Source organism: Homo sapiens, chromosome 10, assembly GCF_000001405.40.
Source record: "Homo sapiens chromosome 10, GRCh38.p14 Primary Assembly".
NCBI classification, from domain to species: domain Eukaryota; kingdom Metazoa; phylum Chordata; class Mammalia; order Primates; family Hominidae; genus Homo; species Homo sapiens.
In genome coordinates this window covers 69,862,103-69,887,718 of record NC_000010.11, presented here as the reverse complement: position 1 = coordinate 69,887,718, position 25,616 = coordinate 69,862,103, and the positions used below count along the sequence as shown (strand labels likewise).

The 25,616-nt window shown below is 51.5% G+C and overlaps 1 protein-coding gene across 43 annotated transcripts in view, besides 4 other annotated features; it reads right to left on the bottom strand.

The window, feature by feature from the left end:
• The window catches only part of COL13A1 (collagen type XIII alpha 1 chain), a 157,239-nt gene that overhangs the window by 71,426 nt on the left and 60,197 nt on the right, over positions 1 to 25,616 (bottom strand). For 22 of the 43 annotated variants that reach the window (XM_047424600.1, NM_001368882.1, XM_011539294.4 and 19 more), the window contains exons 3-8: positions 19,914 to 19,921; positions 15,509 to 15,535; positions 12,556 to 12,591; positions 9,654 to 9,680; positions 7,166 to 7,216; positions 228 to 263 (exon numbers count right to left, since the gene is read on the bottom strand). In XM_047424600.1, coding sequence (XP_047280556.1) covers positions 228 to 263; positions 7,166 to 7,216; positions 9,654 to 9,680; positions 12,556 to 12,591; positions 15,509 to 15,535; positions 19,914 to 19,921 — 185 coding nt within the window. Of the gene's footprint in view, positions 1 to 227; positions 264 to 7,165; positions 7,306 to 9,653; positions 9,681 to 12,555; positions 12,592 to 15,508; positions 15,536 to 19,913; positions 19,922 to 25,616 lie in introns of all 43 variants that reach the window. The other 21 variants (NM_001130103.2, NM_080801.4, XM_017015684.3 and 18 more) reach the window with 7 other exon arrangements.
• Positions 5,239 to 5,960: an enhancer, noted in NCBI's record as "H3K4me1 hESC enhancer chr10:71641515-71642236 (GRCh37/hg19 assembly coordinates)". NCBI's record gives its function as "activates a minimal SCP1, AML or CMV promoter by ChIP-STARR-seq in naive H9 embryonic stem cells {active_cell/tissue: H9 hESC(naive)}" and the evidence as "EXISTENCE:reporter gene assay evidence [ECO:0000049][PMID:30033119]".
• Positions 13,531 to 14,310: an enhancer, noted in NCBI's record as "H3K4me1 hESC enhancer chr10:71633165-71633944 (GRCh37/hg19 assembly coordinates)". NCBI's record gives its function as "activates a minimal SCP1, AML or CMV promoter by ChIP-STARR-seq in naive H9 embryonic stem cells {active_cell/tissue: H9 hESC(naive)}" and the evidence as "EXISTENCE:reporter gene assay evidence [ECO:0000049][PMID:30033119]".
• Positions 18,895 to 19,878: an enhancer, noted in NCBI's record as "OCT4-NANOG-H3K27ac-H3K4me1 hESC enhancer chr10:71627597-71628580 (GRCh37/hg19 assembly coordinates)". NCBI's record gives its function as "activates a minimal SCP1, AML or CMV promoter by ChIP-STARR-seq in naive and primed H9 embryonic stem cells {active_cell/tissue: H9 hESC(naive and primed)}" and the evidence as "EXISTENCE:reporter gene assay evidence [ECO:0000049][PMID:30033119]".
• Positions 19,879 to 20,862: an enhancer, noted in NCBI's record as "OCT4-NANOG-H3K27ac-H3K4me1 hESC enhancer chr10:71626613-71627596 (GRCh37/hg19 assembly coordinates)". NCBI's record gives its function as "activates a minimal SCP1, AML or CMV promoter by ChIP-STARR-seq in naive H9 embryonic stem cells {active_cell/tissue: H9 hESC(naive)}" and the evidence as "EXISTENCE:reporter gene assay evidence [ECO:0000049][PMID:30033119]".

The following is a 25,616-nucleotide window of genomic DNA, read 5'->3' as shown; positions in this document are numbered from 1 at the left end:
GCCCCTTAATTTGTGTATTTGCTCCCCTGTATTTATTCCTTGCATCATGACCTGACTGCTGAGCTACTGTCCTGAGTTGGTGTCCATGAATGGCTGTAGAAGCAAGTCCTTAATGACCAGGGTTTGGGAGAGAAAGAGTGGAACCGGGGCTGACCTCAGATGAAGTTTAACCCAATCAGGCCTACAGACCACCTGGGACACAGCTAACTTCAGCCTTCTCCACTTACCGGAAATCCAGGGAAACCTCTAGTTCCTGGTTGACCCTGAAAAAAAAAAAACAAGAGACACATGAGATTGAGCAAGGAGGAGACAGAGCCAATCCCTAGGCCTCCAGTTCATCTTTGCTCCCATCCCTCTCACTTTGTGTGATCGTCCTTGGGGGACACTCACTGTGGTTAGTGGGTTGGGAGGGAAGATGGAGAAAGATGAAATGGAACATCATAGGAAATCTCCTGCAGGGGCTGGGGGTGGGAAAGGAACAGGAAGGGGCCAGCATCCTCTGGGTCTACTTCTGGGAAGTGGCTCCTGGAGAGCTCCTCACCGCTGTGGATGCATGGCTTGTAAACAAACGCATGGGACAGTGGGGCCAGCGGAGACTCAGCCCGCAGCACATGGAACTCCTGGACGGCGATCCTCTAAGCCCTTTTTTATTTACACAGTCATTGCTCATGGCCACTTATCTAAGGATGGCTTGGATATCAGAACCTGACCTTCAAAATGTGTGTTTTCAGGCTAGACTAGTCAGATTGCTCCTGTTCCTCTCACTCTAGCCAGCAGGCTTCTCCTAGCAGTTGGGCAATCTCTGAGCATCCCCTAATCTTTGTGGGATGCAGAGCAATCTATGCCTATTTTCCTGGAGGTGCAGAGTGCAACATAAATAAATATTTAGGACGGAGACTAGAAGCAGGTTCACTGACCACAGTGATTTATGATCCAGTGGTTTATGATCAAGATTCAGGACAAAGGGGATGTGATGAGATTAGAAGAAGCACAAGGCTGTGATGATGCAGGGCTGAGGAGGGATGGCCAGGTGGTCAGGGGTGATGGAGAGCTAAGAAACGTGAGTCTTGTCACTCTCCCTCTCAAGAACCAGCAAAGGCTCCTTTCTACCATGTTCAAGGCCATCCCTCAATCCCATCCCCATCAACCATATTAGTTTCCTTTCCTGCCACATCTTTCCATCTATTCCATGCTCAGACACACTGGCTCACCCGCCGTTCACCACCAAACAAACATGCCCAGTTCTCAGCCTGGGGTCTCCTTTGGCTGACACAGCCAGAATCTCTTCCCAGGCATGGGCTTTCTAGACTGGCAGACTAAATTCTAATCCTGCCTCCGACTATGACTGTGTGACCCTCAGCAAGTTGTCTAACCTCCCAGAGCCTCAGTTTCCTCATCTATAGAATAGAGGTAACAGTATAACCTCATAGGATCATCAAATTACATTTAATTATGTTTGTAAAGCCTATTGAAATGGTAGCTGCCATCATCAGACACTTGTTGAACTGAACTGAACAGGGAAGCTCCAGAATAGAGCAAGGTTGCTTTTGAGCCCAATATGTCTTGTGATCAATGAAAGTTTGTCCTTGTCAAGCAGCAGTTTTAGAATCAGATCCTCTCCAGAAGATTTCTCTGGATTCACATGCTATGACCCTAAAACATCTCCAGGCTGCTAGGGTCCTCCCTGAAGCCACGAATATAAGTGTCCAGTGGCCTGTGCTCAGGGAACACGTCAGCTGGGTAGGATGGGCACCCTGCCATCAGGGTGGGTGCGCTGGTTCAACAGGGAGTGAGTTGAAGTCTGCCACAGGCTTAGGATGGGCTTGTGGCAGCCAACCAAAAGGGCACGAGGGAGGAGATCCCACTCATCTATCGGAAGGGCCCCTGGCTTTTCTCCTCTCAAGGATAAGTGATGCTAAGAATAAAACAAGGAGAAAACCCGGAAACCACACAATGTCATCTCTGAAGCCTCCCAGTGTAAACTTTCTGTAAACTACTCTGCACACCAAGAGGCCTGAAGAAAAGGTCAGGAGGAGAGGATTCCAAGAAACATCTTCCATCCCGCTAGGGACAATGTTTACGTGGTAGGGATAATCACACAGTTTGTTAATTACAGAGCCTGCCCTGGTAGCAGGATGAATGTCTCCAACCAGGATCAAATCCAGGGCTAACCAAGGCTTTTTCAGAGATCTGGGGAAGAATGTTGTCACGGACCAAGTGGAAACTGGGACACCACTTTCTGGAGGGGCTGGGCCTGGGAAAGGCATGTGGTGAGACTTGGAACTGCACTTTAATTTATGTCTCTTCAATTATATCCTGAGGTTAGACATCTCTTCCAATATTTCTCTGCCTGTTTCTTTACCAATGTTTTCTAGTAGGTTGTTTTTTTCCTGCTGATTTGAGTGAAGCACTTTGTCAAGAAAAATAACTCTTTGATAGTCATATTTGTCATGATTATTCTTTCTAATTTGGCATTTGGCATTTATTTTGTTTCTGGTGTGTTTTATATTTCTACAGACAAACTTAATCTTCTCCTATGGCTTTTGGGTTTTGTGTCATGTTTAAAAGGGCCTTCCCCAGTTTCAGAATTATAAAATGTTCACTCATGCTTTGTCCTTGTATTTTACAGTTTCAGGTTTTATATCTAAGTATTTCGCTCGTTGGAATTTATTCCAATATAATGAATAAATTGGCTTTAATAATAAAAAAACCAAACAACTGTCTTTCATTTTACCTTTTACTAACTGGCTTATTGGTTGTCCCAGCGTCATTTCTTGAACAATTGAGCTTTCTCTTCCTATTGTGAAATGAAGCCTTGATCATGTACCAGATTGACACATGCATTTGGCTTTATTCCTGGCCTCCCCATTCTGTTCTGTTCATGTGTTTACTTAGATTGTCCTGTTTTTGTAATACATTTTGATATCTAGTAGAATTTCGTTGGATTTCCAACCTCATAAGACACGCACAGGGATTAGGATCACATTAAATGTATACAAAATAGATGTATTTGTACATTAATTCATGGATTAATATTACATCCTTCTGAACAAGAACAAGGGAAATAAGCTTTACATTGATCTCTGAAATCTTCTCCCTTAATTCAAGGTCAGAGTGAAAAGGGAGCCGAAGGAGGTCCCCACTTCTGAAAGCAGACCCCTATGTCTACTCCTCCCTGTCTTTCTCCTACTTGCAAATACACAGACAGAAGATTCTTGTTGGAAAAAGCCTACCAAGAAGTCTCCCTTCTCTTATTTGACCCTTGAGAGATGGTCAGTTGTGTCTCTGCCCAGGGGCAGCCTCATTCTGCCTCCCTCACCAACAAGACTCCTTGCCGGCAAATGTTTAACCATTAGCTGAGTGGGGGAGGGTGGAGAGGAGAGCCCTGCCTCATAGAGCACCTGCCAATGTCTGTGGTATAAATACACCCACCATAGCCGATTTCAAGCTACCAACATGAGGTCACTGAAAGCAGCTGGGAGGAGGTGAGGTGTGCATGGTCCACTCTTGCCAGCCGTCCAAGACAGCTCCAGCAGACCACATGCTCTGACTTCCAGCAGCAGATGACAGTTCCCATTGGACTTTACGGCATCTCTAACTCATCACACTCAAATTCAACTCATCTCCCCTGGCAAAATCTGCTCTTCCTTCTGGGAAAGAGTACTGTGTTACTCAAGTCAGAAATGTGGTGTCATCTTGAGTTCTTGCTTCTCCCTCAATCCTTATTTTTTATCATCACGAAATCCTTCAATTCCACCTCTAAAATAGCTTGCAAGTCTAGCCCTCCTGGCCAGCCCCACCGATTCTGCTCCAGTCCAGGCCTTGGTTGTTGCAAGTGCCTTCCAGCCAGCCTCCCACTGCAGTCTCTTCTAAACATGCTGCATGCTGGACCTTCTACAACCTTGTAAACTGCAAATCTGGTCATGTCCCACGTCAGCCTAACACAACCTACAGGCTCTTCACACCCTCAGGACAAAGCCCAACCCCTGACCATAATGTAAGGGCTTCTCATGGGTCCTTGACTGCAGTTATTATCCCCTCCTCCAGGAAACCTTCCCTGCCTGCCCTCCTTCCACAAGGCTGGTTCCTCCTCCTTGTCCCACAGCTCTCTAACCATCCCCTGGCTTAGCACTTGCTGTCTGCATTGTCATGGATTATGTGATCACTGGTGTCACCCACTAGATCATGTGCCCAGAGGGCAAGCTGACAGAGGTCAGGTTTCTACGCAGCACCTAGCAGGCACTGGGCTCTTAACAAATATGAATGGAGTGAATTGAGACACACTCAGTAGGTGTGTCTACCTGGTGTGGGGTGGCTCCTAGTGGATGAGGACTGGAAGTTCAGATATCTCCTCGCCCCAGAAGAGAAGCTGGAGAGCTCAGAGAGGGAATGGGCACACTTTGAGGTAGGGCATTTCCTAGGACTGGCAGATCCTCTGCCCAGGGCCTGCTGGGCCAGCCAGCATCTTGGAGGTCCAGGCTCCCCCTCGATTTACTGAGCCTCCCTTAAAGTCAACGTGCCCCAACACTGTATTCCAGCTCACTTCATTAGAAAGTGAACCCTCCTCCAAAGTGCTTGGAGGGTTCTCCCTTTGCTTGGACCATTTATCAAACTCCAAGAGGGGAGGCAGGTGGCCCCTAAGAGTGGCAAGGCTGGTTCTTATTAGCAGCATCTATGCTGGACCCTTCCTGGCTGAGTGGAAAGTTTCATGTTCTCCATCATCCCTGGCTGCCACCAAGGGTGCCCACTTGACTTCTACCCCTTAATGACAAATGGACCCTTTGTCTTCCCCCGTCCCTGCTCCCATTAGCTCAGGGCAGCTTCCTGGAAGGAGCTGAGGGGGCTGCCCGTGCTGTAGTGGGGACTCAGCAGGGATAGCTCGAGCCACTGGGTGATGGGGGCCAAAGTCAGAGGATGCTGGGCTTCGTTAAGACTCCTGGTATGATAAAACCTTTCCTGGTGCCAATGTAGGCACCCACCTGGAGGACTTTTTTCTCCTGAAGTAAATATCATTTTAAACGTAGCGTTTCAAACATGGAACAGGGTATTGAGGCAAGAATGCAGGCTTTGGGATGAGGATAACCTGGCCAAACCCAAGCTCCAGAACTTACTAGCTGGGTGACCACAGGCGAGTTAGGAAACTGTTCTCTCCTCTGTAAAATGGGCTGGTGGGGCCTGCCTCACAGCTGTGAAGGAGACCTATTATGTGACAGGTGCCTGGGAAACAGAAGCTGTCATTGCTACCTGAGCAGAAGGTGCTTTTCACTACTGGAGTCAAATCCAGTGCAGTAGATATGTTTCTGATTAGGTTATCCATGCTGGGCAGAGGCCGGGAGGAGCAGAGGCTCTACTGCCCTGAACACACCTACAGCAGTGGAGGTTTTCAATAACTTTTTGGTAGCCTGTTGACATAATTTGCTGAAAGGGTGTGAGAGGACCAGCAGGATCCACACAATAGAACATCAGTAGCCAGACCAGAAGGCAGACGGAGATGGCAGCATAGGGTAGGGCCTGTATGCTGTGTTACTCCCCTGTCCTCCTAACACACCGGGCTCAGTCCTCGATGTTAGAACCTGGGAGCCTGTCTTCTGTTTCTATGACCTTCCCATCACCACCTTCATCAGGACCAATTTGGCCAGGGCATTGGTGCTGCACCTCCTCCAGGACACAGGAGGCTTGAAGCCCATCGGGGCAGCCACCGTGTGAGCCCAGGAGCACATGCGACAGTGACATCAGGCCTGGCCCGTCTATGACTGCAGCAGGAACCAGAAGCAGACTGGAGCCAGATGGTCTGGCTGAATGATCAGCTACCAGTGTAGCCACGTGCCAGCCCTATGGCTCTGGGCAAGTCACTCAGCCTCTCTGTGCCTCAGTTTCCTCATCTGTAAAATGGAGGTGATCACAGTCCCTATGTCATGGAGTCCTTGTGAGGATTAAGTGAGTGAATACGTGTAAAAGTCTTAAGATAAGACCACCACAGAGGAAGTGTTAAGCGTGGTCATTATGGTCTGAACCCAGAAGAAAACCTTGCTGTAAAGGCCATGCTACTCAGCCCAGGGCCACTCAAGTTCTGCCTCCGACCCAGCCCCTGACATGTCTGCCAGCCTGGCTCTCCTGCCCCTGCTCTCCTTCTCAAACTGGCTCTACCTTTCAGCTCCCTGCACTCGCCACAACCCCTCGCTTGGCTGTTCATCTCACTGCAGGCCCCCTCCCTTGGATGTAAGTTAGCCATTCGTTCTCTGGCCCCTCTCCCTCTGCTGTGGGTCTCAGTCTCCCAGAGGCTAGCCCTCTGCTCCCACCCCTCACTGAGCACGGCGGGTCAGGAAAAGTGCAGAAGGTGGAGCCGGCGGCCTGCTGCTGTGGTGAGGCCGGGGCTCCTCGGTTCTAATCCTGCCCAGCCTCTACACGGGAGGGCGCTCCCCCTCTCTGAGCCTCAGTTTCCCCTTCTGAGAGGGCTGTGTTAGACCATCCCTGGGATCCTTTCCACCCTGACGTGTGGTGATTTTATTAAAGCCCCGTGGTTCAGGGCTCTGGGAAAATAACAAGCCCTTCCTCCCACAGCCTCGATATCTTGCTGGCTTCATCACCCACACCCCTGTTTTGGTCCTTAAGGAAGCACATGTGAGGGGAGCCTCGCTGGTTTTCTCAAGCTCCCAGCCACGGGGTGGAGGGTGCTAGTGAACACACAGGACCCAGCACTGCACACAGAGGCATCTGTGAGGGTGAGTGTGGGCTGGCCCTCCGGCAAGACCAGTAGTGCGTGCCTGGGTCAGTGAACCCGGACTCGTATCTGCTCCATGGGCTTCCAGAAACAAAGGCTGGTTCCCGGGAAAGCCGGATCACCCCATCCGGAGGAGAGCGAGCCCTTTCTCCCTTCTGTCTGTAAACAGCAGGGCCGCCTTGCAGCTGCTGTAGTTTCGTGGCTAGAGGGCAGGTCCCTCAGAACCCTCCCAAGGGACTGTAATTTAGGTATATTTAGCCAGGCCACTTTCCTTAACATCAACATCGGCACCCGAGGCCTGGCTGGGCTGACCACATCACATGCGGTGGCCTCCCCACCCAGGGGCACAGCCGCCCTCGCTGTCCCCTCATCCCCAGCCTAAAAGCCCTTTTCATCAACTCACCCATCCCCCCAACACCCCGAGGAAGAGCAAAAACAACTTACAGGGGGGCCGCGGGGACCAATGATGGACAGCCCAGCGTCTCCGGGGGACCCCTGCGGGGAGAGAGGAAGGGGGAGAGGGAGCGAGGGGCAGGGAGGTATGGAGAAGAGGAGCGGGAAAGAGAGGAACCAAAGGGAAGGAGCTGGCAGGGGGCCAGGAGCAGGAGGCCGGCCCCATGGGACAGGAGAGGGATGCCAGGGGACGTGGAGGGCCACGAGGGGATCAGCAGAGTCAACACAGAGGGCACAGGGGCAAGGAGGGAGCATTCAGAATGGGTTGGGAAGGGCAGGTAGTAGGGGGAAGCAGCAGGAGGGAAAGGAGAAGAGGTGTCAGTGAGAACACAGGACATGGGGTTCCGGGGAGACAGGGTGGTGGGACCCCAGGCCGGGGAAGCGAGAAGAACAGGATCCATTGGAGTGGCGGGAAACAGGGAGACACAGGGAGAGAGGGGAGACTTAGCAAGGCTGCCCAGGCCTGAGTCTCTCCCCGGCCCAGCCCAGGATGCTTTCCAGCTCCCCCTCCGCAAATACCCATCTGGCCGCACACCCTGCAACTGCTGAACAGTGACCTGCCCGAGAATGGGACTGTGAAAACAGAGGAGGGGGACACGAGCAACATGCGTGCTGTGTGAACTCAGCATCCCTGACCCTGAAAGGTTGAGCTGCCTCAAATTCCCTAGTCCCGGTTTCAGAATGACATGGAGGGGTGAAGGCCAGGGCAGAATGTCAGCTCTGAGAGGAAGGCAGATGCTGCTGAATGATGAGCTCAAAGTGCTGTCAAGGGTGGCTGAGCTAGCTAGACAAGTGCCATGTGTGCGTGTGTGTGTCCCTAAGTTCAAGGTCCTACTCTGCCAGGAAAAGTCACAAAACCTCTCTGAGCCCACATACCTCCTCTGGGAACAGGAATGCTGAGAGCGGCTCTGTTGCCCTTACGGGAAACGCATTTTGGAAAATGTCATACCTTACAGGCAGGCGAGGGATGATTTCAAGTTAGTAACTGTTTATGTCATGGCAATGATACAATAATTTTTATACAAGGCGGTGTAGTGTCATGGTTAAGAGCCAGAATGCTTGGGTCTGAAGATCAGCTCTGCTACCCACCAGCTGTGTGACCTTGGGCAAGCGACTTAATGTCCCCGTGCCTGTCTTCTCATCTGTAAGGATACAGATAGCGCCTGTCTCATAGGGTGGATGTGAAGATGTCATGTGATAATGTAAAGTACTTAAAACAATGCCTGGTCCATGGAAGGGGTCATGTGTCTTTCTCCTAGGCAGTTTAGCCTCATGCCAATGTGGAGCTGACAGTCTAGTTCCAATATGAGGACAGAATAGCATGGTAGCTAGGAGCCCCAGCCTTGGAGTCAGACACACTGGGGCACCTCTCCATCTCTGTCACATTCTAGCTGTGTGACCCGGGGCATGTGACTTGGCCTCTCTGTGCCTCGTGTAAATGAGAATATTAAAGCTTCCCTGAAAAGGTTATGTCAGTGCTAGTTGGGAAAACAGACAAAATACTTAAACCCGCACCTGACACAATTTGTGTTTAATACATGGCAACTGTATTATAATTGTTGAGATTGTTATTTTGGAGATGGGAAACTATTGCAGAAATACTGCATTACAGACAGGGAAGTACAGAGCCGGGCACCGGGAGGTCTGGCTTGGAGCCCCTGCTCATCACTATTGCTGTGCCATCTTGGGCCAGCCCTGCTCCTTCCTTGGGCATCAGATGAGTTTCCTCACCTGCAGAGTGAACTCTTTAGAAGTGTTGTGCTTGGCCAGGCATGGTGGCTCACACCTGTAATCCCAGCACTTTGGGAGGACAAGTGGGCGGATCACCTGAGGTCAGGAATTCGAGACCAGCCTGGCCAACATGGTAAAACCCTGTCTCTACTAAAACTGCAAAAATTAGCTGGGTGTGGTGGCACAGGCCTATAATCCCAGCTACTTGGGAGGCTGAGGTAGGAGAATTGCTTGAACCCAGGAGACGGAGGTTGCAGTGAGCCGAGATCTCGCCACTGCGCTCCAGCCTGGGTGACAGAGCGAGACTCAATCTCAAAAAAAAAAAAGAAGTGTTGCTCTCAGAAATCTCTCAAGAACCCCCCAGGGCTGATGTTCCAGGATGGCTTCTGGATTTCTGACTTCCCAGGGGGGCTCTATTCCATAGCCTCGGGGGTCCCCCTGGGCAGTTCCAGCTACACAAAATAGCGATTGGCCAGAGCGATGAGGCCTCATGCTGTCAGGGCAGGGCAAGGCAGGGAAGACCTCCTCAGCTGGGAAAGCTGGGACCGCCGCCCAGGAATCCCAAGACTGCTGCCCGATGTTATGGAAGCTGTTAGGAAACGGGGCCGTGAGAGGCAGTGAGGGCAGCAGGCCCAGCCAGCACCCTCTGCTGCGGCTTTCATGGGGGGGAGGGCTGAGAGCCTCCCATCAAGAGTCCACCTGGAGGAGGAGGCTGGGTGCAGGGCAGAAGGGGAAAGTGTGGACTCACCTTCTCGCCTGGTTGGCCCTTTACTCCCTGGGGCAGCCACATGCAACACAGGGTGCAGGAAGGGAAAGGAGGGGAGAGAAAAAAGAGGGGATGAGAAAGAGGCACCCACACGAGAATCCATGTTCATAGCACAACAACCAAACAGAAGAAATCACTGTGAAATAAGAAACAAAGCAAAACACAGATGTCGACACATGGCAGGTCCACGTCCAACAAGCACAGCATGTGGCATGTGGAAGGCGCTGCTGCAATGTGCAGCTGCTCCAGATAACTGAGAAACAGTGGCTGGGGCCGTAAGAGGCCCTCTTGAGGCACGTACGTGTGTGTGTGTGTGTGTGTGTGTGTGTGTGTGTGTGTGTGTGTGTGAGAGAGAGAGAGAGAGAGAGAGAGACAGAGAGAGAGAGAGAGAAAGCCAGACAATGGGAGAGAGACAGAGATAGAGAAAAGAGAACAAGATCCCACCTAAGTCAGGAAATCCTCCCCAGAAGCCATGGCCCCAGCTGGCCAGGACACTCTGAGGTTGGGGTGGGGATCGGGGGAATTGCCCCAGGACTGTGTTGTGATGCTGGTGTCTAGGAGGTTTGCAGGTCCAGCTGAACACCAAGAACAAAGCTTTGCCAAGCTAGACAAGCCTGGAGTCCTTGGACCTGGCCGGGCAAGGTGGAGGGAGGGGGCGTGGAGAATCACAGGAGGCCAGAAGGCAGGACACACACCTCTGGAAGAACGGAGCACAGGTCAGTGATGCAGAGGAGGCTGGTTAGGCGGCCAAGGGTCCCTTGTAACAACAGTGACCAGTAGATGGACAGTCCCAATCCACCCTGCTCTGGACAGGCCAGTGGGGCCACTTCTGGTCAACCCCAGGGATGACCCAGGCATGTCACACCTACTGGCCACCTCACTGCTTATCAGGTGGCTCATGCCAGGACCCCTAATGGGCAGCCAAATGGGCCCATTGTCTCATTTAAAATAGCACCAGCAGCCAGAGTAGCTTGAAAATAGACCTGCTAAGAAGGAAGTAGGGAGACCTCCTGCAGCTCCCCTCCTTCTACCCCCACTGCTATGGGAGGGAAGTGTGGACACTTCCTGGGAGGAGGTGTCCACAGGGCCCAAGAAGGAGGACAGGACGGACAGGACGGGAAGGCCCAGAGCTGCCACTTTGCATTTTGCAGCCTTCCCTGTGGGCCTGTCTCTGCACTCAGGGGAGAGGCTCCTGAAGCTTCCCTGGGAGCAGGGACTTTGGGGTCCCACAGTTGGCTTGGGCACAAAACCCAACTCCACCCTATTTTGGGTGCAGTGAGTCTCAACATCTTCATTTGGAAGACAGGGGCTCAGAGGGCTATGGTGACGCAGGTGACTGGCTCAGGTCCACATGCGCAGGCCCTTGGGAAAGGATGGTTGAATCACGTTTCCCTGCTCTGTACAGAGCCTGTGACGGCTTGGGAGGACTCAGGATCTGGAGTTAGAGAACGGAAGAAAACAGACAGGGCCGGGCAGCAATTCCACTGTGCTCTGCTCTGGGAAGTGGTGGGAGAGCTTCTCGTGGGGCGGCCCAGGGCTCCCAGCCTGCATGCCTCCATAGACAGGCCTTAGGTGGGCGCTGGGGAGAGCAAAGCTCTGTGACATGGAACACTTGTCCTGAACTCTGAAATATCCCAGGCCTCTGGGGCTTCATTCTAAGGATCAGACCCTCCTCAGAGCTGCAAGGCCAGTGGGGGTGGGTGGTTAGTGGGGAGTAGTAATATTGTCAGGATCAAGAGCGCAGGTTTGGAGTTGGGCTGTCTGAGTTCAGATTTCTGCTCAGCCACTTCCTGACTGTGCGACCTTGGGAAGGACAGTTAGCTTCTGAGCCTTGGTTTTCTCATCGGAAGAGTAGGGGTGGAAACCATGTCTACCTCATGCAGTTCTTGTGAAGTCTGAGTAAGCTAACATAAGGCTCTTAGCACAACGCCAGCAAGCAGTTAGCACTAGCAAGGGTCAGCTATCATTTGGATGCCTTTTCTCAACCTCTGAGCACCGGCAGACTCACACCAGGCAAGCAAATTCACACAAGGATGCTACACCCACTCCTACAGCCAATCCCATGAGATTCTGAGGCAAAGCTGAGAATGACATGGGGGTGGTCAGGGGTCCTGGGGAGCCAGGTGAGGCAGAGGTTGATGGGAAGTTAGGAGTCACATGGGGAGAGTGGCTGAGGCCACTGTCCTAGCCCAGGCTGGGGAGTGGTGAGGGTGGGGCATGGCCATCACTGCCTTAGACTACTGCCTTTATAGCCCTTTGTAGACACTCAGGGGCTGAGGCTGGCCTTCCCATTTCTGGGAAACACCCTCTCCATCAAACGTTCTCATCTCCCCTTCTCTATCTTCACTTTCCTGCAAGAAACAGGAATGTTTTAACTCTCAGCCTCCTCGTGAGGACTTGGAGGTGCCACCTGGGACCAAGCCCTGTCTTCACCATCTCTTAGTGCATCTCTGTCTACAGAGAAGGCCCCTGGGAACCCTGGCTCCACCGAGGGGTGGTTGCAGGAGCAGCTGTGAATCTAAGGGTGAGCTGCCAGCTTTGGGGGGCGGAGTGGCAGTCCTCCCAATGTCGAGGCTCAGTTTGTTCCTGCCGTTCCCAGCAGGTGACTGGCAAAGGGCTTTGTTCATGCAACTTTATTAGGTTTTTCCTTTGCTGTGGCAGCTCTCTGGAGAGTAGTGCCATACTGTGAGGTCTGAAGGACTGGAATACAACTTCCCTTCTCCTTTCTTCTCCCTCCCTAAAGCACACTGGGGCTTGGGGAAGGGAAAGTGCTGACCCCCTCCTTGGGCCTGGGATAGACAGCACATTGCCATGGTTTAGAGGACAGGCCAGCACGGAGAAGCAAGCAATGGCCACCTGAGCAGGTACAAACGGGCCAACTCACCACACGTCCAGGCATCCCAATGGCACCTTTGTCCCCCTGATGATGAAGGAGGCAGAAACAGTCAGATGTGGTTGGAACCAGGCTAGCATGTGAAGGACCCTATAGGCAAACTGTGCACCTGATTTAGGGCACAGCTAACCCAGTTTGCAGCGGGGACGACATCCCGTATGATGCCCAAGCATCATGTAGGTACACTCCCTATGCAGCTCCCAAGGACTATTCAGCAAGCAGCCACTGCTATGGCTATGTGTACTTAGGCATGAGTGTTGTGGAAAGAGCATGGAAGGAGGAGTCTGGTCCCAGCCTGGGCCTCAGTTTCCCTATGCCTTTCCAAGGCCCTTGCTCCCTTAGACTTCACTGTTGCATCAATTCCAGCCATGGCCAGGATGTGCCTCATCTTTATCAAACGCAACTTCAAGGCACAGAGCAGGGTGACTGGCAGCTCCCATGTGACAGATGGGTGAATCACTTTCCTCGGTCTGTCTCTGCCAGAGCTGGAGAGCAGTGCTCCTCCCCAGCCCCTGGTTTGAGAAAGCAACCTCTGGAGTCTTTCTCCACTCCTCCCTCCTCTCGGCCACCTCCAGTACTGACAGGAAGGACCACGAGCCATGTGGATTCAGCCGAATCACGAGTTGCAGATGCTCCAAGGGAAATGCTTTGTTTTGTAGCCAGGGGTTACATCTCACTCTGGAAATCTGCTTATTAAGTTTTGTTCCTCCCCCTTTTGGTAGAAAATATTTTTTTGCCATCATATGCATGCAGACATCATAAAACCTGGGGTGGGGCCTAGAGTTTGCTGGGAGCCTGGAAGGATGGAAAGCAATAGGGTGCGGAGAATCAGGTGGTTTGTCCAGCCTGCTGGACAGGAGGGGACTGCATGGGCATTTCTCGGGTGACTCTGCGTCTGCTAACCCCACTGAGGCACAATGCCTTGAGGAACAATGAGCATCCACCATGTATGTGGGGCACACCAGAGAGAAGCAATTATTTCTGAAATTAGGCTCTTAAAATTAACACATAAGGTCAAGACCAACGGTGGCTTTGAGTAAAATGTTTCACTTTTGCTAAAGAATGGCAGGGTAGCTGTGCAGATTAGAAGCACTGACTCTTCCCTTAACCTTTCTGAGCATCAGTTCTGTGGAGTGGGGGTGATAAGAGCTTCTTTCTCATGGAGTTGCTGGGAGGATGCCACATGATGCTGTCTCTGAGAAGCATGTGGCCAGTGCCTGGCCTTTGATGTTGAATAAATGGCATCTGCTTGTGTAAAGCCTAGCACAGCTGTGGGCAGGTGAATTTCATCAGCATGTTTGTACTCCACACCTTTTGCTTTGTACACCAGGGGCTCACATCCACAGTCTTTTTGAGTGTTACTCCTAGGACCCTTCACACGGAAGCATCAACAAGACCATGACCCGTGGATCCGAAATTGGCTCTGCCTGCGAAGGACCCCAGGCCAGGGCGGGTGGTCGGCTGTGGCAGCCCCACGGTCCACTCACTCTTGGGCTTTTGAATGATATTTCAGGATGTGTGTTTTGGTTTCTTTTTCATTTCTTTTTTAAAACTAATGCTCTTTGCAGTCCTGGCCATAAAATGCTTGGGTTAGGGATGGGTGTGGAATGGCCAGGGACTGGAAACTATGTGCAGCAGCCCTTGCTCTGTCAATTGCCCCCTAAATGCTTTTTAAAGGTGGATGTTGTAAGAAAGAAACAAAGTCTGCCCACATTCCCCTCGGTCATCTGATGTTTCCCCTCCTTGGATTTCATGGGACCGATTCACCCGTCCTCCTTTGTGCTGGGGCTCTTACTGGGAGAGTTTCCATTTGCAAGTCTGAACATTCCCCCACATGCATTTCATTAAGAAAGCCACTGCTAGGCATGAATTTTAGAAGCTGTTGGATTAGTCCAAAGGTTACAGTATAATCCATGTCTAAAAGGGGAGTCATTAGGTAAGAGGGAGGAACGTAAGGGTCTGGAATCTCATGGATGTGGCCTTTGGTACAGGGAGACAGGGCAGACTGGTGCCAGCCTCAGGCCAGGGTGCTCTCCATACCCGATTCCGGCCCCCTGACCGGCTGCAGCATCTTACCTGGGTCACTCCACATCTGAGGGCCCATGGTACACATACCCGGTACACATACCCACTACTCAACTCATCCATGCCCCAGGCTAGACTCCACAGAGCAAAGTCTTAAAAGACTTTAAAGGTGGGTTTTGAAGGTGGAGCACAGACCACAAGCAACAGCAGTATGGAATGGTGTGTGATGATACGGGCCTCTAACAGGTCCCCACCTGAAGCTTGGACAGATGGACAAACTATTTTACCTTCCTGACTCTCATGTATAAAACAGGTTTATAATCATACCCATTTCACTGAGGTATTGAACAAGCTGAATGTGTGAAACATGATAAATGCAGTACCTGGCTCTTCTTACGGTTTCAATAAGAGATGGCTATATTTTTTGTCCCAGAGTCCCCATGGTTACTTGGCACAGCCTCTCTAGAATTGGGACGTGGTAATTGAGAGAAAACAAAGTTTTTGAGTCCGCTCTCTTATCAGCAGGCATAGGAGGAACAGTGGTTTGAATGTCAGCTGGTATGCAGGGGGATAGTCAGTGTGCCAGTGGGCTGCCCATCCCTGCAGCTGCTCATGGTAGGGTCATCAGTCTGGAAGTCAGCTGCAGCTTTGGAAGGATCTGCATGCTGTAATTTGTCTGCCTGGGGCAAAGGCACACCAAGGGCTGTAGCTAAAGATGCCCCAGCAGGGTCCTCTCTAGATCTCAAAGGAGGAAGGAGCTGAGGTGACTTCACCCTAAGCTATAGATCAGGGACTCTGGAGAGTGGCCTGTCACCCAGATACACCTGGAGAAAAACCAGCCACCCAACCTAGCCAGTCCTCAGACTGAGAAAAGCACGTAAAAGAGATGCAAAGGAAAGAAGAAACAAAAGTGACTTACTGGGAGTCCGGGTCTTCCAGTGGGACCCTGAAATGAAGAGTGACGTTTACGTAGGTCAGGCAGGTATCGTAACACCTAACTGTTGAACACTGTCTCAACCAGCTGTGTGACCTTGGCATGCCACTTGGGTAAGCCTTTGTTATTTTATGAACAAAACGAAGGGGGAGCCTTGATCGCTAAGGCTTATAAAGCTTCCTTCCAGTTCTGGCTCTGAAGAAAGCCCACCTGTGTTCACCTCTTGGCTCTGCCACTTACTACTTGGGTAACCTTTAGCAAGTATCTTGGTCTCTCTGTGCCTCAGTGTTTTCATCTTGAAAATGGAAGAATAATCATTACCTATCTGTTAGGATCAAATGAGAGAATGTATGTAAAGCACTGAGCACAGCGGCTGGCATATAGCAAATCCTAAATAAATGCAGCTATTACTATGATTATTAGAAGAGAGGAGGACTGGCCAGAGACGGGCATGGGGCTGGCCTTGGTTTCTCCCTCCAGAGACCCTGCTGTCACATACAGTTTCTCTCCTTCCAGACATCCCACTGTTCCCATAAACCAAAGGCAGAACCAGGAGTAGGTCTTGGGGTGTTCCCTGGGAGACAAGTCCATCCCTGCAGGGCTGCTGAGAAAAGTTCAGGCAGCACCAGGAGTAAGTCAACCCTTCTAACGTTTGTTCCTGAGGACATCCCGTCAATGGTGGTGCAGTGACACCCACCAGTCGGTGGGGAGTCCTTGGGGAATGTGGGGCTACAGCGTTCATGGGGACAGGACTAGTTGCCATCCCGCCGTGTTGTTGGTTTTGCCCCATAGCACTAAAATGTGAGCTCCTGAGGTAGGGACTTTCCTGTTTCATTCACGAATGTGTCCCCAGTGCCTCAGCAATGTGGACCTCTCAGTAATCCTCAAGACACATTTACGAATGAATGAATCTGCCTGCGGATACCAGGAACCTGGCAACACTCCTGCTTTCCCAGGCCCCCACAAGGACAGCCCAGGCACTGCGTCCCTTAAACCAGAGCTTTAGTGCTCAACCAATGCCCTCTTCCTCTTGCTTCTAAACTTCCTGTCCCCTAATGTCACAGAGTGGGCTGAGAAGTGGGGTAGTGACCTCCCATCCCAGGGAAGGGAACGCGCCAGGGTGAGGAGGGTCCAACCTCATGCAGTGGGTCTACTCTGAATAGGAACAGAAGGGGCAATTTGCTTACTGTGTCCTTACAACCGACATCATCCACATCGTGCCACCCTTACGAGGACACATGAGGGAAACTTATTTCAGGCCCCATTCTCAGGAAAAACTGTGCTTCGCCCAAGCATCAGGCGTGCTCCTACCTCACTGCAGCCCGACCCTTGCCAAAGCTCTGTTTTCCTCTTTGCTCTGACCACCGAGAAGCTCAGAGCCAAGTGTGTGGCTCATGTGCACAGGATGTTGCAGTGCCATGGCTCCGGATTCCCTTTGCTTTCCTGCCTCTGTTCTCCACCCCTCACCTTCTGTTTCCTTATGTAGCTTGTCAATCCCCCTAAAATGTTTCTTGGAATGAGATGGGGTAGAAATAAATAAAACAATAAAATTCATTAATAAAAATGCACAAAATCATAATTTCTTCCTTAAAATGTAAGGTTTACCCAGCCACTTGGGAGACTGAGGCAGGAGGATGGCTTGAGGTCAGGAGTTCATGACCAGCCTGGGCAATATAGCAAAACCCCGTCTCTAAAAAAAAAAAAAAATTAAAAAAATTAGCCAGGTGTGGGGGCATACGCCTGTAGTCCTAGCTACTTGGGAGGCTGAGGCAGGAGGGCCACTTGAGCCCATGAGATTGAGGCTTCAGTGAGCTTTGATCGCACCACTGCTCCCCAGCCTGGGTGAGAGAGTGAGACCCTGCCTCTCACTCTCTCACCCAAAAAAGTTTTTTCTTTTCTTTTCTAAAAAAGAAAAAAAAATTAAAGGTTTGCAAAACACCTTTGGGCATCATCTAGGGAAGCCTTATGCTTTTAGGATTAAATGAATTAATATATCCTAAGTAAAAAAAATATATATATACAGTACACACACATACACACATATACCTTACAACATCCATATGAAGCAGACACCATTACTGTTCTAATTTTACAGATGAGGGGACTGAGGCAGAGAGAGGTTAAGTGACTTGCTAAGGTTACACAGCAAAAAGTGGCAGTGCCAGGATTTGATTGCAGTTGGTCTGGCCCCAGAGCCCATGCTCATAATCACTATGTTACACTGCCTCCATAAAAACATAACAGTGTCTAACACACAGTAAGTGTTAGCTACTATTTCAGCAAGGATCATATTCAGCAAGGCCTGGCAGCTGCTGGCAAATATTTCCCTATATTCCTTCAGAGAAAGATACATCCCTACTTCCCTTGGTCATCTGTTTTCAGTCTCATAGTTCCCAGTATTAGGAAATTCTCCCTTAAATTGAATCCAGGGATGGCCAATAGATGTCAGCTTGAGCACTGATGCCAATGGATTGGGAGTAACTGACTAATGCATTATGTTAAAAAGCCTCCTAATTGATTAGCAATGTCTGCCAGGGGCATGATGGGTGGGGCAGTGGTAGCTGAAAATTTACTTCCACCTAAATGGTTCCTGCTGCAGCTTTAATCCATCCTGCACAGTTATGTTCTTCAGGCACTGGCCGACCTTGTGCCCGCAGAAATCTGGGTCTTCCTGTTGGAGGACAGAGCCAGCCCCCAGGATACACCCAGACGGCATCAGACAGGCATCTCAGAGCCCCTCTCTCTGGCCACCAGCATTCTTCTTTTGCAGGAAGCAGAGATAACAGGGCTGAGGAGGTGATTCCTGCCCTGGCCAGCTTCCCATTTCCTCCTCCTCCTGCCTTGTGGTTTCAGCCAGCACTGGGCAAAGGTTCAGGGCTCCTCTTCTGAGCTGGGCTCAGAATGTGGGGAAAGCTACCTGGGCCTTTCTTCTTCACTCTGTGGGCAGAGACTGAGTGAAGACTCATCCCCTCCACCTCATGGGCTCCTTCAGCACAGACCCAAAGGGGTCTGGGAACAGTCCCTGGGTCGGGCCAGCACAAGCTCTCAGAATGCAAAATTCCTACTGAGGAAAGGACCCTCAAGTCAGGCAGGGACTCAGAGCTGTCCTGGCATCCTGGCCCTGGGGGTGAGGTGTGTGCAGGAGGCTGCAGCATCCTGCCCCTGGGGGTGAGGTGTGTGCAGGAGGCCCCAAGGCAGGGTGGGGGCAGTTGAGGGCTCTTGTGGCTTCCTCAGAATGAGACAGGGAAAAGCAGCACATTTCCCACAGGTGAAAGCTCTATATGGCAGAGTTTATTTTGGAAGATGGATGATAGGAATTAAGATCTGACACACCAAACGTGCCATAATACATTATCCTTCCTTTCAAGTAATGACATGACAGGTCCTGCCTCACTGTGATGTGTCAGGGGCCATGGGATCCTCAGTGTGGGTGCAAGGGCCTTTCAGGGCACAAATGGAGTCTTCGATAATGGCCTTTACTAAAAATGAAGCAGGCGGCTCCCACAGGTACACATCAAGAGGAAAACAACTATGGAAATGACTTCTCCAAGGAAGGGATGATGATAGGGTTGATTTCAGCAACCTTGAGAAAGATCTGATGCGAGGGCTGGGCCCTTTCAATTCCTATCTCCAGCTCCCCCAGCGCCCTCTGGTCTTTTGTTGGGATATCAAAGGCAGGTGCTCCTGTTCTCTGGATCCATTACTTGAGGGAGGCAGTCTCCTTGGGCTCTTCTCAGGTTCTCTGGAAGTGGCTCCACTCCCTGCCCCACCCTGGGCTTCCTAGCAAGGCCAGGAAGGAGTGCGGCATGATGCCTATAATTTATGTGCTGTCTCCCAGTCTAACCGGCTGACACCGCTCTCTCTTACATAACCATTGCCGCCGCCACCACCACCACCTGCCCAAAGTGGCCAGAATGGAGCTGCCCCACTCAGGGGTGTGGATGTGAGTCCCCTGGAGCAGACCATGCTTGCAGCCAGCTCGATGACCTGTTTTCTGGGACCTTTCAAGGGGCAGAACTGAGGAGAGATGATTTCTTTTCTTCTAATACCTGGTGCTTTTTTTTTTTTTTTTTTTTGACTCCAATAGCTTCTTTGGGGACAAAGGAACTGAGCTAATTAGAGGGAAAGCCACTCTTTCATATTGAAATTTGGGGCCTGCTTTGCCCTGGGGGCAGCCATTGTCTTGCCCTGGAGGGGTGCAGAAGTGGGTGAAAAGCAAAATGGTAGCCTCCTCCCCACAAGAGGCATTCTGGAGGGACCCCTCAGGAGCCTGCATAGGCCCCCAACAAGACAGCAGGGGCCCAGCTTTCAGTGCCCCCACCCAGAACCCCGTTACCAGCAGGTGACACAGGCCTTTCAGATGCACGAGACCCTCGGCTTGAGTACTTACAGGAGGTCCTGAAAGAGAGAGAGAAAATGCCTGGGTCAGTGTCATTGCTGTAGGGGGCGGTGGGGAGGCCGCCTTGGAAGCAGTGTCCAAGGATTCATCAGCGGAGGGGTTTCCATCTGGTCTTCGAAGTTTGTCTTTTCCTGGCCTACTTTCACCAATATAATCTCTTCCCCCTTTATTTCATCTCCATATTTTCATAATTGGATGAGAAATCCAGAGGTCTAGGCCCCAGGCTCAGCCCTGCTGGGGACCTGCCGGTGGCCCTTCTGCCTCAGTTTCCCACCCCACAAAACGGGCTCTACGGGACCTGCCTGAACTTGTGTACAAGGCTGCTTTGCAGAACACGGGACAGTGGGCAGCGAGGCACACTGAGAAAGGCGGAAATAACAGATCCCGTAGAGATGAGGACCGTTAGCATGCCCGTGTCCTCACTGTGCACGTCAGGGAGGGCCAGCAGGCAGGCAGGGGCGGGCGTGGATGGCCACTGTGCACCCTGCCTGAGGCCCATTGGCCCGTCCTGGTTTCTGTTTAGCAGTGAGTTAGGCACTTCACCCCTCCAGGGTCTGCCACCCACAGCCTCTTTCTCAAAGCCCCCTCTCGGGCTCCGGCCCCACCCTCCTCCATGCCTCTCTCTGTTCCTTTCTCTTTCTGGTGTCCACTCCCCACCTCCCTCCCACGGCCGCAGCAGCAGCCCTATCTCATTACTGGCAACAGCCAAGAATGACAAATTCAAGTGTTCCGAGAGGGAGAAAAAAGGAATAGGGGTGGGGAGCGGGAGGGAAGGTTTAGAAAAGCAGTCCCAGAAAGATAGGGAAGGAAAGGCGCTTCTGCGGAACATGAGCCACGAAACCCCACCCTCCCGGTGATTCCCAGCTGGGCCTGGTGTGTCTGCCCGGCCCCTAGTGCCCTGGCCACGTTAACTCAGCTGCGACTCCTGTTGCTTCTTTTATGCTCGGCCAATAAAGGCTCCTATGTTTCCCCGTGCTCCTCCCATTCCCAGAGCCGGCTTCCTTCTCTCCTCCTTTATCTGTCGGCTTCTCTGCCCTGGTCACCATCCAGGAGGAAACAGCCTCTTTCATGCTGGCCTCTGTCAAGCCATCACGTTAAGGAGGAACACAGTGTTTTAGATTAAAAGCAACAGAAAAAGTCAAGAGGTGTAGAGCCTGGGTGAGCAAGCCCCAGGCCCGGGCCTTGCATGCAGGGCCCAGAACAAGCGGGAGGGAGCACAGAGCAGGGGGAGCATCTGGGAGCCATTAGGCTGAGTGGCAGAGGAATGTCACCCAGAATCTGAAAATATCCCCTGAGCGCAGCCTGCCAGAGGGGCCAGCTTAGCTGGGAAATCTGTGCCTCCTGGCTGGGGGAGATGTCCTCTGCATGAGAAGCAGGCTGGTGACAAAATTCAGCCTGTGGCAATTTTGGGATGCTTCAGCCACATGGAGGGCAGATGCCTTGCGCCTGCCAGGCCTGACGGGGCCCTGGCTCCCACTGTGGCAGGCTCTGGTGATGCCCCCAGTGACACAGGCTAGAGCTCTGAGATGTCCCCAGTGACACAGACTGGAGCTCTGAGGGCAGCCCGGCCTGTTGTTAGCACTCTCGGCTGCATAGGTGTCACCAGATGCAGCCAGGTAGCTGGCACAAGACTCAAGGCTCAGCTGGGTAGCAGGAGGAGCAGTTTGCTGGGTGCACCCCTGGAGGATATAAATTCTACTGAAGATTTTGAGGGTTTTTACATCACCACCACTGCCACCACCATTGTCACTGCATACACCTCTATGGTCCTTATTAGGTGCCAGGCACAATTCGAGGGGTTTTCCATTATGCAATAGGTTCTATCATTCCCGCCTTGCGGATGAAGAAACTGAGGCATGGGAAGGTTGAGCGACTCCCCAGGGCCATGCAGCTAGTAAATGGTAGAGCTCTGGACCCTTCTCTACAGTGCCTCTCTCTCTGTCTCTCATTCAGAAAGCAACCTACCCCCCACCCTGCAATTGCCTGCAGACCAAGTCCTCTCCAGACCTGCCCCTGGGATGCCTGTTATGGTCAGCCTCCAGCCCCCTTCTCTAGACTCAACCCTCTCATCTGTCTTTTACAGGCACCTTTGTCTTATGCAAGGGAATTTGGCTCTTCCAAGCTCAGCCAGGCTGCCACTACCCATACCTGTCCCCTACAGGGATTTCAGAAACAGGAAAATCCTCTTTGTGAGCTAATGCTGTGCCATAGAAGGGGAAGAGCTATACAGGTGCTATAAAAGAAGACTTTCTCTCTCACACACCTTTTTTCCCCTGTTAGGGATGGTCTTCATGAGACCCACTGGAAAATCTTCAGGTGCCTTGGAAAACCCAACTCCCGTCCTGCCCCTGCCAATTTTCATCAAACAGGCCTGCATTGGGACAGCCCTGGGTTTCCAAGCAGATGCTTCCCCTGATGCTGTGTTCAATGCCTGGCAGCTCTAAGATGCTGGGGAGCTGATGGCTTTGCAAAATCTAGCAGTGCCTTGATGTCACTAGTTGCTCTCCCATGTGGGCCACTTGGCTGTGCCCATTACCCTGGCCAGGCACCAAAGGATGGAGTCACTCCAAGGCATTACCAAGTCCCCACAGTACAGATGGAGAGAGAGAGGCCCAGGGAGATTCATGACCATCCAGGGCCATGTTGTGGGCAGGTGATGGCGGTGAGACCGGCATTCAGTCTCCTGACTCCCCATCCTGGGGTCTTCCTAACAGAGCACACCATATCTCATGCTGATCCTGCTGAGGTACTGCCCGTACTACCACATTTTGAGAGAGGAGGAAGACACCTGGACTCCGCCCATGCACCTGCTGCTTCCTCAGGAGGAACCTGTTTCTTGCAGCAGGGAGAACTATGAAGATTGTCCCAGCCCCCTCAGGTGGGCTAAGCAGCCCGCAAGCAGGGCTGTCAGGAGAGGGTCACAACAGCCATCCAGGGTGGGGACATTCTGCCTGAGACCTCCCTGCTGATGTCTGTCACGCACTGCCTCAGCTTCCTGCTGAGGCCACTACCGTTCTCCGCCGGGGTTTGACCCACCTCTTCCGAGCAAGGCGGCCATGCTTCCCCAAAATGGACACATAGGGATGGACCCCCATGAAGAATTCTGGGGTAGCATTCTGGGTCGTGCCCTTTTTCAACCACTTTTTGTATGTTCGTTCATTCAACAAACACTTAACAATGCCTACTGTGTGAGTCACTGTGCTGGGCTGTGGCTCTCTAAAGATGAATAAAGTATACTCATTGTCCTCTGAGGAAGGAAAACTTCATTTTTTTAAGCATTTATTATCTACCAGGCCTGATGCAAAGCTCTGATGATACAGAGATGAATAACTCATTTCCTCCCGCTGAGAAGCCAACAGTTTCCTATGTTAGAAAGCTGGAGAAATTCCAGTGATGAGAACTAAAACAAACATGAGGGTTTAAGGGAGAAAGGTTTGCTGTAGGAGGATTCATTTTTTCATTCCTTCATTCATTCAATCGACATTTACTGAGTGCTCATTATGCGGCAGACATAGACACAGTGCTAAGCATGGTAACTATAACACCGCACTTTGTCTTTATAACAACCTTGTGAAGTTGGCATTATCACCCCTTCCATAGACTTGGAACCTGAGGCTTAGAGGTTAAGCAACCTGCCTAAGGTGGTCACCTTGCTCTTAGATGATGGCATCTGATTCTTAAGGTTAAAAAATTTTAATTTAATTTAATTTAATTTATTATTATTTTTTGAGATAGTATCTCACTCCGTTGCCCAGGCTGGAGTACAGTGGTGCAATCACGGCTCACTACAGCCTCAGCCTCCCTGGGCTCAGGCAATCTTCCCACCTCAGCCTCCCGAGTAGCTGAGACCACACACCACACCTGGCTAATTTCTGTATTTTTTGTAAGGATGGAGTTTCACTATGTTGCCCAGGCTGGTCTCAAACTCCTGAGCTCAAGCTATCTGCCTGCCTCGGGCTCCCAAAGTGCTGGGATTATACACATGAGTCACCATGCCTGGCTTAAGTTGATTGTTTAACTTTTATTTCCATATGGTAGGGCCTGGATTTGAATTTGGTCTCTCTTGCTGCAAAGCCTGTGTTCTCCTGGCTGGAGGTCATGAAGTTCTCAGGGGTGGAAGGGGCGGCTGGGCCCTCAGCCCCTTCTAAAGTGGTCAGGTAAGTCCCCTCCCCCTCGACCCTGGACTTGGTGCCACCCAGTCGCTGGATCCAGTCCTGGTCCTGGACAGGGGGCATCAAGAGTGGCAGGGTGCTCCCAAGTTCAGTGTCATCTGAACCATCTTCTGACCCTGCTTGACCGCTGGGCTCCTAGAAGCTGGGGTCCTAGCCCCCACCCATGCCTCCTGGTGCCTGCAGCTGACCACCTGCCACCAGCTCTGCCACATGCCCGACCCACCCATCTCTGCCAGGACAGGTGCTGTGCATCACGGGCTCCCCTCAGACCTTGGGTGACTAATGATATTGGTTACACTCTGCCTGCTGGAGCAGGGGTTCTCAGCTCGGGGGAATTTGGCTCCCCAGAGGATAGTTGACAATGTCTGGAGACATTTTGATTTCACGACTGGGAAGTTTCTACTGGTCTGTAGTGGGTACGGGCCAGGGATGCTGCTGAAAAGACAATGCACAGAGCCTCCTGCCACAGAGACTCATCTAGTCCACGTGTGAATCGTGCTAAGGATGAGAAACCCCATGCTGGACTAATGGCACCAGACCTGCCTCGGGGCTCCTCCCGTGCCTCAGTCCCTAGGACGCACGCCCTTACCCGTGGCCCAGGCCTCACCGACCTGTGGTTTGCCAACTCTTGGGATCCCATTCTTCTACAGTTTGGCCTGTTCCACCTCCACCCAAGACCTCATTCGGACAAATAGTAATTTGTCTGTTATTCATCTACAGAGTATGTACTCTGTGCCTGACGCTATGCTAAGACCCTTATTTCACTCGGTCTGCCCAATGACCCAGTGAAGTATTGTTGGTTATTGTTCCCACTCTACAGATGAAAAACCTGAGGCCCAGAGAGTTTATGGTGCGTTCAAGGCTGCAGAACACATGCATCACTGGGCTGGTACTTGGCCCCAGGTCTGCCTGCCTCCCGGGACCATGGGCCCCCGAAGCTTGAAGGAGGCACATGGAGAAATAAAAGGAACAGCCTCTGCCTCAAAGAGCAGTGAAGAAGGGAAACATGAGTAACTTTAAAAACCATGAAAAGCAATTTGTGAAGGGACACTGGTGAGCTTTAAGGCAGTCCCTTCACTGGCCTGTGAAGGGACACCGGTGAGCTTTAAGGCAGCCTGTGTCTTCTGGGGTTAACTTCAAAGAGAACACTCAAGCCCTGTCACGTACAGCCCTATGGCCCAAACCCTGAGTTTCTAGGGAAGCCTGAGGCAGATTTCTGGGTAGACCAACTGAATTTATTTGATGTCCCGGGAGCATGGTTGACAAATCATGCTTTGTGACTGATAAAGCACTTCCTTATATCACAGTTCACCACAACCCAACTCCCATTTTATAGATGAGAAAACTGAGGCTCTGAGAAGGGTGCAACTTGCCTATTATTCATGGCTGGTAAATGATCCTGAATCCTGGTCTAGTGCTATTCACAGAACAGCCCACCATTAGCAAAGCTTTGAGAAGCTTTACATTTCTTAGGAAAAATGTCTGACTACTCAGAGCCAACTTGTGCAGTCTTGCAAGAGCC